The sequence below is a fragment of the Homo sapiens genome, chromosome 16 (genome assembly GCF_000001405.40).
Source record: "Homo sapiens chromosome 16, GRCh38.p14 Primary Assembly".
In the NCBI taxonomy this organism is placed as follows: domain Eukaryota; kingdom Metazoa; phylum Chordata; class Mammalia; order Primates; family Hominidae; genus Homo; species Homo sapiens.
The window spans coordinates 67,348,592-67,360,611 of record NC_000016.10 but is presented as its reverse complement, the minus strand read 5'-3'; the positions used below and the strand labels follow the sequence as shown (position 1 = coordinate 67,360,611).

Below are 12,020 nucleotides of genomic sequence, written 5' to 3'. Positions count from 1 at the left end.
AGTGACATGAGCTATCAACCTTTTTGTCCTGTTCTCACTGCAGTAGTACTACAGAAGAAACAAGGTGAAGCAGAAACTGCTAGTTGTAACACAGCTTTTGTGCAAATGAGAATGGTTAGTAGGCTGTGACTTTGGGTTCAGGGCTCCTCTTACTCTTATCCTGTGGAACAAGACTTCGCAGGTGTTCAAGACCCTGCTCCAGCCTGTTTTTCCTCCCACAGCACATATGCTCTTTTCCAGATTCACAGGTTCCTTTTCTTTCAACCTATGTCTTGGTTCAAATCCCCTACCGCCTGAACTTCTTGCTGAGTGCTCTCATAGTTCTCCTGGGTTTTAGCTATCACTTACATCTGAGTGACTCTAAATCTAAATCTCTTAAGTCTGGTCTCTCTTCTGATGTACAGACCTAAATTTCCTGAACAGCCCCCAATGAGTACCTGCACACAACCAAAAAGTCAATATTTTCTTTTCTTTTTTTTTTTTTTGAGACAGAGTCTTGCTCTGTTGCTCAGGCTCTGGAGTGCAATGGCGCAATCTCGGCTCACTGCAACCTCCGCCTCCCGGCTTCAAGCAATTCTCCCGCCTCAGCCTCCTGAGTAGCTGGGACTACAGGTATGCACCACCACGCCCAGCAAATTTTTTTGTATTTTTAGTGAAGATGGGGTTTCACTGTGTTTGTCAGGCTGGTCTCGAACTCCTGACCTCAAATGATCCGCCCACCTTGGCCTCCCAAATTGTTGGGATTACAGTAGTGAGCCACCATGCCCAGCCAAAAATCAGTATTTTCTAACCAAACTCATTATCTTCACTTCCAGGCCTACTTCTGCTGCTGGTGCCTCCCCCAATCTTGTTATTGGCATTACTATCACCCAATCACTTAAGATACAAACTTGTTATTTGACTCATCTGAAATCTCAATTACCAAGTTGTACAGAATCACTCTATGACTGTGGGAGAAGCTTTATTTTAATTGAGATATAATTCATGTGTCATACAATTCATCCTTTTATAGTGTACAATTCAGTGTTTTTTAGTATATTCACAAAGTTATACAACTATCACCACTATCTAATTCTAGAATATTTCATCACCCCCAAAAGAAACCCCATAGCTGTCATTCCCAATTTTTCCCTCCCTTCCATCCTCTGGCAACCAACAATATACTTTCTGTCTCTATGCAATGGCCTATTCTGCAAATTTTATATAAATGGAATCATACAATATATGACCTTTTTGTCTGGCTTCTTTCACTTAGCCTGATGTTTTCAAAATACATGTTATAGCATGTGTTAGTACTTCATTCCTTTTTAATGCCTGAATATGGATATATCATATTTTGTTTATTCATTCTTCAGTCAATGGCTATTATGAATAATGCTGCTTTCATTCCTGGACAAGTTTTTGTATGAACATAGGTTTCCATTTCTCTTAGGTATATATACCTAGGAGTGGAATTGCTGGATCAAATTTAACTCTATGTTTAACTTTTTGAGGAACTGCCAGACTGTTTTCCAAAACAGTTGCACAATTTTACTTTCCTACCAGCGATGCATAAGGACTCCAATTTCTGCACATCCTTGACATTGCTTTTTTTATAGCAACTTTTTAAATTGCAAAACATATCTTATTTTTTATACATGTTACTTCATCACTGGATATTAAGCCCAGTATTCAACAGTTATCTTTTCTGCTCCTCCCCTTCCTCCCACCCTCCCAGCCATTGCTTATTATCTGTCCTTTAGATTCTATTTGGCCTAGTGGATGTGAAGTGGTATCTCCTTGTAGTTTTGCTTTGCATTTCCCAGATGAATAGTGATGTTGAGCATCTTTCATGTGCTTTTGGCCAGCTGCATATCTTCTTTGGAGAAATGTCTATTCAAATTCTCTGCCCACATTTTTTTTAATTGGGTTGTTTTTGTCTTTTTGTTATTGAGTTGTAAGAGTTCTTTATGTAGAATGGGTTGAATACGTTAGCTCATGCCTGTAATCCCAGCACTTTAAGAGGCCAAGGTGTGAGGGTCGCTTCAGGCCAAGAGTTCAAGACCAGCCTGGGCAACATAGCAAGACCTTATCTCCACAAAAAATAAAATAGCTGGGTGCAAAAAAAAAAAAAAAAATTAGTGGCGACATGCCTGTAGTCCCTGCTACTCAGGAGGCAGGAATATCACTTAAGCCCAGGAGTTTGAGGTTGCAGTGAGCTGTGACTGTGCCACTGTACTGCAGCCTGGGCATGCCACTACATTCCGGTTTTTAAAAATATAGAATGAATATTAATTAGATCCTTGTCAGATATACAGTCTGCAAACATTTTCTCCTATTCTGTGGGTTGTCTTTCCACTTTGATAGTGTCCTTTAAAACACAAAAATTTTAATTTTTATGAAGTCTTTTGGTTGTTTTTTGTGTCATATCCAAGATACAGGATCACTCTTGAAAAAAAAAAAAAACTGATGCCTTGCTCTGCCACTATTATGACTAAGTACGTCATATACAACAATCAAGAAAATGAAGCAATTTGTATTCTGAGATTATTTTTTTCTTGTCTTATACTTCAGTTTATTCTTTTTCTTCAGATACAAAATATATCCAGCCCTTAATTCCAAAAGCAAATGTAATTATGACCTGTTGTCCAGCCCAGGTTTGAACATCCATATAATCAATGCGACAGGACAATTTGTTTGAAAATTGTTTTCTATTTGTAATAACAGAGAAAAGGCTTTATCATACAGATACAGGGGCAAGTAACTAATAGCTACTTCTACTACCAGTAATCCCAGCTGGATGAGGCTCCACTTCACATGTTTGTACAAACACCCTGCAATCAATGGGAGGCTGAGATCTGGCCAGATCCCCTTCAAGGAAGGACTTGCTGCCTAGCTGCTGGAGGGCACTTCAGCCGTTTGCTCTTCATTCGGAGTCTGTCTTAGCTATCAAGAACCATCTCCTGATGCCATTCTCTTCCAAGGACAGTTCACTCCCCGTGACAGAGCTAGGCAGGGGTACAAAGACCCAGGCATTTCAGCCTAGTAAGGGACATTCTGAAGGAAAGTTCTTACTCTAGAGCTCTCTCTCTGCTTAACCCTCTTTCCTCCCCTTCCTCTCAGTGTTAATCTCAAATAAACATATTGTACCCCAGATTCCACTGAGATAAAAATATAAGAGCAGAAATAACTTGTCTTTCACTAGTCTCCAAAACCATTTCTTTTCCATTGCTAATTACCAATAAAAACAACACAATCCCTGACATTTAAAATATTAATATGTAATAACTATTGCAGATATGATAATTATTAAAGGAAATTGGTGAGGTGGTTTTTTTCCCATCATGAACAGACTCCATGTAATCTTAGTAACCTTGTATTTTTCCCCCTTTAAATAATAGTTGTGTCTTTTATTCAGAAATTCCATTCTTCTGAAGTTTGAACTATATAGCAAAACACTGCAGGTAAAAATACTTCATGTTTTGTATCCAGGCTTTATTTTCGTATCCTCCAGGACTTAATCAATCTGTGCTTCCTCATCTGCATTTTACCATTGGCCTCCGAGGACAGGTCCTCATTACCTCCCACTAACTAAATCTAGCTTGAGTTATCTCTCAAATCACACGTTTAAGCATGCCTCACCTCTAAGAGATCCTTATTATTACCTATTTTCAAGAGAATAAAATGAACATAATTAGTAAAGAGGGCCTTTGCAACTTGGCCTTATCTCTAGCCACAAGCTGAGTCAATTTCCTGATATGTTTCACCTGTCTTTGCTGCTGCTTTTCCCTCTACATTGAATACCTTTTCCCCTCAACTATGCCCACTGAACTCTATTTTAATGCCCAACTAAAGTGTTGTTTTGTGCAGCCTTTTCCCAGGCCTGCAATGAGTACTAACTGCAACCGCCTCTCCTCCATCCCTCTATATCTCTGCCATAGTAGAGCTCTTGTCTCACAGTGAAGCCTGACTTGTGACCTAATTAGCTGCAATAAATCTTTCCAAAATGGGAGTATGTGAAGACGTGACACTATTTTAATCATGTCCTTGTCTGCCTACCCCCAACACAGGATTTGCCCAGTAGATATGCACTTCTTTGCTGAATTGCTCTCATTTCCACTGACTGAGATTGCTAACTGCCTCTCCCCCATATTCATTATTCCTCCCTTAGAACTCTCCCCATGACAGCCGTAGACTGTCAACATCTGGATTTCTATAAGAGAGATAAATGAACTTCTAGTTTAAGTGACTATTTTGAGAAGTCTCTGCTATTCCAAGCTGATTTTTATTCAGCCAAAACTCCATCATGGCTAAACCAAGAGATGACATGGATCAACATGTTGAAGTGGGATGGATTTCAATGAGTTATAAAGAAGACCCTGACACATCTGCTAGACACAGGAATGAGCCACTGAGGGTGGCTGTGGTGGATTTTTCCTTGTTATTTTAGAATAAGATATTAGATCAGTATATTTTCAGCAAGACTCTATTTAAAGGCAAATAGAACTGGCAAAAAGAGTGAGTTAGGTTGTTTCAACTAGTACCTACAGGATAAACGTAAATTGTTCTTAGTAAGACATTCACTGTTCTCCAGAACCTGACCTTCTACCCAACATAAACCTTCCACCCAAACCACACCGACACATGGCTTTCTTCATGACCTACCATCCTCCTTACCACTTCCAGACAGTAATTCACACCAACCCCACCAATCAAAATGTGCTGCTCCTCTTTTCAGGCCATCCCATTGCTCTCCAGCCTGTAAGGTCTGATGGCTTTGTTTCCATATCTGCCATAAAACCTTTCTCCACTGTCCCCAGCACACAGTGGGCTTCTGTAGCATGTCACCAGCCACATCAGTGTTTCTCAAGCTCAATGTTCTAATCAACTCTGAGAACAGGAGTCCAGTTTGAGAAACTATAAGAAACTAAACTCAGTATATAAAAAGACATCTTAAAAGACCGGGCGCGGTGGCTCACGCCTGTAATCCCAGCACTTTGGGAGGCCGAGGCGGGCGGATCATGAGGTCAGGAGATCGAGACCATCCCGGCTAAAACAGTGAAACCCCGTCTCTACTAAAAATACAAAAAATTAGCCGGGCGTAGTGGCGGGCGCCTGTAGTCCCAGCTACTTGGGAGGCTGAGGCAGGAGAATGGCGTGAACCCGGGAGGCGGAGCTTGCAGTGAGCCGAGATCCCGCCACTGCACTCCAGCCTGGGCGACAGAGCGAGACTCCGTCTCAAAAAAAAAAAAAAAAAAAAAAAAAAAAAGACATCTTAAAAAGATTATATTGGAACAATTTGGCAGTTTCTTACAAAGCTCAACATACTGTTATATGATCCAGCAATCATGTTCTTTGGTAAGTACTCAAATGAGTTGAAAACTTATGCCCACACAAAAACCTGCACAAGGTTGTTTATAACAGTTCTAGTCATAATTGCCAAAACTTGGAAGCAACCAAGATGTCTTTCAGTGGGTGAGTGGATAAATAAACTGTGGTACATCCAGACAATAAAATATTATTCAGCACTAAGAAGAAATGAGCTGTCAAGCCATGAAAAGGCATGGAGGAAATTTAAGTGTATATTGCTAAGTGAAAGAAGCCAATCTGAAAGGCTACATACTGAATGATTCCAACTATATGACATTCTGGAAAAGGCAATACTATGGAGACAGTATAAAGATCAGTGGTTGCCAGGGATTAGAGAGGATGAAGGAATAAATAGGTAAGCACAGAGAATTCATAGGGCAGTGAAGCTATTTTTGTATGATACTACAACAGTAGATACATGTCGTTTATACATTCATCAAGCCCATAGAATGTACAACACCAAGAACGAAACCTAATGTAAACTGTGAACTTTGGGTTATAATGATGTGTCAGTGCAGGTTTATCCAATTGTAACAAATGTACCACTCTGGGGCAGGATGTCCATAGTCAGGGAGGCTGTGCATGTGTGCAGGTAGGGTATATGGGAACTCTACTGCCTGATAAATTTTGCTGTGAATCTAAAACTGTTCTAAAAAATAAAATATGTTTTAAAAATCAGATTATTGGCCAGGTGCAGTGTTTCACATCTGTAATCCTAGCACTTTGGGAGGCCCAGGTGGGTGGATCACTTGAGGTTAGGGGTTTCAGACCAGCCTGGCCAACATGGTAAAACCCTATCTCTACTAAAAACACAAATATTAACCAGGCGTGGTGGTACACGCCTGTAATCCCAGGTATTCGGGCAGGTGAGACATGAGAATCACTTGAACCCGGGAGGTGGAAGTTGCAATAAGCCGAGATGACGCCACTGCACTCCAGCCTGAGCAACTGAGTGAGACTCTGTCTCAAAAACAAACAAAAAAAGTTTCATTAAAATGGATGGGCTTTGGTCTGGGTCATAAAGAAGGGTAGGATTTGAGTAAAGCATTACAAGCAGGGGGACAGCATTAGTTTAGGGACAGAGGAGGGAGAAAGGAAGGACTATTTGGGGGAGGAAGGAGTGGTTTGATTGAGTATTGGACATTGTAGTTGACAAACAGGAGATAAGCTTTCAGCTTAGGCTGAAGAGACAAATTACAGATAGAGCTTAGGGGAGTCTTATACACCAAGTAAAGGAGTTTAGACTTAATTTAGTAGGGGAGTGGGAGCCAGAGAAGTTTTTGAGCAGGCAAGCATAATAAATCATCACAGCTGTGTTTTAAGAGAATTAATCTGGCAGCAAAGTACAAAATGAATTGAAGGAGTAAGAGACTGTGAAGCAGTATCATGTAATGGTTAAGAGGACTTTGATGACAGATGGACCAGAGTTTGCCTCCTAGCTCTGCCACTTACTGCATAACTAGGGCAAGTTATTTCCCCTCTTTGGGTATCAGTTTCCTCACCTGTAGAACCACCTTCAAGGTTGTTGTGAGGATTAACTGAGATAATTAACCATGCCTGGTAAGAGACTATCAAGAAATGGAAAGGGGCTGGACGTGCTATAATCCCAGCACCTTGGGAGGCCGAGGAACGTGGGTCACTTGAGGCCAGGAGTTCGAGACCAGCCTGATCAACATGGTGAAACCCTGTCTCCACTAAAAATACAAAAATTAGCTGGGCATGTTGGTGCGCACCTGTAATCCCAGCTATTCCAAAGGCTGAGGCACGAGAATTGCTTGAACTTGGGAGGCAAAGGTTGCAGTGAGCCGAGATCTCGCCACTGTACTCCAGCCTGGATGACACAGTGAGACTCTGTCTCAAAAAAACAAAACAAAACAAAAACAAAAACAAAAAATAAAAAAAGAAATGGAAAGGAAGGCTCGTCAATTGTGGATCATACTACAGGGCATGAACATTCAGCTCAGAGTAGCAGCAGCATCAAACCCCAACATGATTCTGGGCCAGGGTAATGGGAAAGCTGTGGTAATACTGATGAAACCCTAGGAGCTGTTTAGGGTTGAGGGAGAGGGGCTTATTTGTTTGTTTGTTTTGGGGGTTATTTTGGACATGTTTAGCTTGAGAGGCTGTTAAACAGTGGTGATTCCAAGTGTATATTACAAGTTGGTCAACAGAAATATGGGCCTGGTGCAGAGAGAGACCAGTGCAGGTTGTCAAAGCTAGACCAATATATTTAAGATATGAGGAAAGACTATAAAATAAATATAAATAAATAAACAGGCTGGGCACAGTGGCTCACGCCTATAATCCTAGCACTTTGGGAGGCTGAGGGGGGAAAATTGCTTGAGCTCAGGAGTTCAAGACCAGCCTGGGCAACATGGAAAAATGGCAAAACCCCCTCTCTGCAAAAAAATACAAAACTTAGCTGTGCATGGTAGCACACACCTGTAGTCCCAGCTACTCAGGAGGATGAACTGGGAGGATGGCTTGAGCCTAGGAGGCAGAGGTTGCAGTGAGCTGAGTTTGCACCACTGCACTCCAGCCTGGGCAACAGAATGAGACCCTGCCTCAAAAAATAAATAAATAAATAAATAAATAAATAAATAAATAAATAAATAAATAAGACATTTATTTATTTATAAATAAGGCCGTAAAATAGATGAGATCAATAGGGGCAAAGAGAAAAAACAGGAGAGCCCAAAGATATAGCCTAGGTACGCCTATTTCGGGGATATGGGAAGAGAGAGAGGAACCTTTCAAAGAGTCAATGATTATGTGGTTAGGAGAATAAGAGGAGGATCCAAGACAGTGGAGGTTCAGTGCCCATTCGCAATGATTGGTGGGAAAACACCATTGGGAACAACTGAGCTAGTGAGAGATGTTCTCCAGAAAGTTTTCTCCTAGCCTGTGGCATGGCCATTAACATGGCATAACCACTTTGATCATATTGGATTACCAACAGTGCTTACTGGCAACACTCCCCAGGGAATCCAGCACAAACACAATTTTCAGTGGAAAACAAAGCTCCTTAACGTTTCGAAGTAGCAAAATAAATTTTATATTAAAAAAAATCCAGGCAACAGCTGGGGCTTCTAAGAACCTTTAGAAATGGGCCCTCTAGCAAAGCAGTTTGTTCTTAGAAGAGAAAGTACACTTTCAGACTTTTTAATTGTGTTAATGAAGTAATATGGCACAAATGAAGTCTAATTCAGCTTATACAAAAACAGGTTGTCAAATTATGCTTCAATGTATTTTTCTCTGTCTGGAAATGGATACTTAAATGCCTGTACCTAGAAAAAAGACTAGGCTGTATACCAAAGGTGGTATACCAAGGAAGGCTGTATACCAAAGCATTAACTAGGACCAAAATGTTGTTTTTCATGCTTTTCAGTCTTTTCCAAAATTATTACAATAAAATTGTATCAATTTAAAAATATTAAAAATGCTATTTAAAATGAAATAAAGTAATCCATACTCCCAATATTTATATGTACTGGGACATCCAAGAAATGAACATTAAAGTCACACCTCATTATGTCTTTTTGTGTGTTTGTTTTTTGAGACAGAGTCTCACTCTGTCGCTCAGGCTAGAGTGCAGTGGCGCAATCTGGGCTCACTGCAACCTCCGCTTCCCGGGTTCAAGCAATTCTCATGCCTCAGCCACTCAAGTAGCTGGGATTGCAAGCATGTGCCACCACGCATGGCTAATTTTTGTATTTTTAGTAGAGATGGGGTTTTGCCATGTTGGCCAGGCAGGTGTTGAATTCCTGGCCTTAGGTGATCTGCCCATCTCAGCCTCCCAAAGTGCTGAGATTACAGGTGTGAGCCACCATGCCCGGCCCGTGTCTCATTTTATCACAAAATACTCTAAAAATCATTTGTCAATAAATGATAAGAAATCAAGAAAATAAAATACATGTTATAAACCGAAAATGCTTAATGTCTGAACTACAGTGTAGAGTCAATCTACTAAAGTTATTGCTTGGCTTTTAGGAATTGATGTTTAGAGTTTGTGTATAATTCACTAGATTCTTCCAAGGGAAGAGGCACTGAGACCGAAGAATATTTTCTCAAGTAAAAGGTCACTTGATTTATCTGACAGTGCCAAGCTAATCCACAAGGATTCACTGGATGCAACTTCTCTGGTGGAAAGCTTTCTCCCGGCCTGTGACATGACCATTAATGTGGCATAACCACTTTATTTATTTTTTATTTATTTATTTTTTTAAGATGGAGTTTCACTTTTGTTGCCTAGGCTGGAGTGCAATGGCGTGATCTCGGCTCACCACAACCTCTGCCTCCCAGGTTCAAGTGATTCTCCTGCCTCAGCCTCCCGAGTAGATGGGATTACAGGCATGCGCCACCAAGCCCGGCTAATTTTGTATTTTTAGTAGAGACAGGGTTTCTCCATGTCGGTCAGGCTGGTCTTAAACTCGCAACCTCAGGTGATCTGTCTGCCTCGGCCTCCCAAAGTGCTGGGATTACAGGCGTGAGCCACTGTGCCCAGCCTGGCATAACCACTTTAGCTATATTGGCTTATCAACTGTATTTACAGGAATATAGTAAACATTCCCCAGTAATATATCCCAAACACAAGAGATTCTACAGCTGCAAAGGTTCTTGGTTGGGCAGCCCAGGAAGCCCAGGGTGTGAGCTGGATGTATGCAGATGAGTCGCCAGTCTCTAATTAAATCAATCACTGATGTAATTTTCTGGGTATACTAATGATGTAAAGTGATGTAAATGAAATTGAACTCTCCAAGTACAGCTTGTGCTTTCATGGGCTCTGGGTTAGGCCTGCTCTGTAAGGTCCTTCTGGCAGTGAGAGGATGGAAGAAAAACACAGCCAGTAAACCTGTGCTTGCTTCAAATTGGTTCTTTCTCAACTATGTGTCTTCATCTTACCCAATATTGGCTATGGCAGCTGAGATAACTGATGTTTTAATCATTTTATAATCACAGGGAGAAAACTTACCCATTTCAATCCTGCTGTCAACATTAGCACTGACTTTTGATGCAGAGCTCTCACCTGTTACACAGTTTTTCATTGTCTTCTCCCTAGAGCTGCCACATAGAATAATTTATTTACAACTCAAAAAAAAAAAAAAGGCTTCTGAGATCACCAGTAAATGCTATTTAGAAAGCAGTCTATGGTGATCAGATTTTTCTCAAATGCTCTAGAACATATTAATTTAATTATGTTTCAGCCGGGCACAGTGGCTCACCCCTGTAATCCCAGCACTTTGGGAGGCCGAGGCGGGTGGATCACCTGAGGTCAGGAGTTCAAGACCAGCCTGGCCAACATGGCGAAACCCTGTCTCTACTAAAAATACAAAAATCAGCCACGTGTGGTGGCGGGTGCCTGTAGTCCCAGCTACTCAGAAGGCTGAGGCAGGAGAATCACTTGAACCCAGGAGGCAGAGGTTGCAGTGAGCTGAGATCACGCCACTGTACTCCAGTTTGGGTGACAGAGCAAGACTCTGTCTCCAAAAAAAAAAAAGTTGCACAAATATTTCAGTTAAAGCCATACTTTATAAGAAAAAGTAATATTTATACTGGGAAATATGAGAGAAGGACACTATAGTTCAGCCTGTAAAATGTGAAAGCCAGAAGATTTAGAACTTAGATACTCTGTTTTCTTGACACATACTTAGATCTGAATGATTGAGGGGGTAGGACAGTTTCTTTTGAATTAAAACACTCATAGTTAGGACACAGAAAGGAAGGTTCTGCTGCCAAGAATTATAGAGGAGACAACTATAGCCATTATTTAGAAAAGCAGACAAGAAAGGCAGGTAGATACCTTGGGTAGTACAGTAAGTACACAAAGCCTAGGCTGTATGTATCAGATGCTTTATAATCACCATTTCATGTAATCATAAAAGGCCCCCTACTGGTCATTATCTCCATTTTATAGGTGGGGGAACTGGGACTCAGAAAGGCTTAAAAAAAAAAAAACTTCACCCAAGGTTAGAGAGCTTATAAGATATTAATGTTAATACAGGGTACTTGAGTAACATTTTTCCTCCAGTTTTGCAATCATTATATGGTAAATAAACAGATAAATGATGGAATTAATTTATCTGTTTATTAGAAGGTTTATTCAGTTACACATTAATTAATCTCTGTATTTTTGTAGTGAATGTTACCCATTGCATTTAAAATAGAAATTAATCCACAAAACATATAAACAATGTTTTAGAAGCATTCAATTTCTATCTAAAGAAGAGTGACTATTCCATGCAAAGTAACCTCAATAAATCTGATTTTAAAAAATAGGAAACTAAGAAAAAAATAGGAAACTAAGAATGTTCACTGAAGGCTGCACTAAAAAACATATAATGGATCAGAGCAGAGACAGGCAAAGTCACTGGGAAAGGGAAGGATCTCAGGCCAATAGGCACTGACCTCATTCATTCATCATTCAATACATTATTTCTTAGCATCGTCTGTATTCCAGACACGGTTCTAGCAACTGGGATACTGTAATAAGCAAGACCAACAAGATCCTTGTTCTCATGGAGTTTATGTTCTAGTAGTAAAGGTAAAAGCAATAAACAAACAAAAGACTTATTCTGGAGAATAATATAAGAATAATGTTGTGGGGATATGTTCATGATAGCTTGTTAAATTAAAAATGGTGAGCTAGGCAGTGGTGTGCACCTGTAATCCCA

At 40.5% G+C, this 12,020-nt stretch overlaps 1 protein-coding gene across 16 annotated transcripts in view; it reads right to left on the bottom strand.

The window, feature by feature from the left end:
- Positions 1 to 12,020, bottom strand: part of LRRC36 (leucine rich repeat containing 36) — a 58,390-nt gene that overhangs the window by 24,593 nt on the left and 21,777 nt on the right. For 14 of the 16 annotated variants that reach the window (NM_018296.6, XM_005256025.3, XM_005256027.3 and 11 more), the window contains one exon: positions 10,322 to 10,410. The exons of the other annotated variants lie outside the window; for them this stretch is intronic. In NM_018296.6, the coding sequence (NP_060766.5) occupies positions 10,322 to 10,410 (89 nt within the window). The remainder of the gene's footprint in view (positions 1 to 10,321; positions 10,411 to 12,020) is intronic. 16 annotated transcript variants of the gene reach the window in all.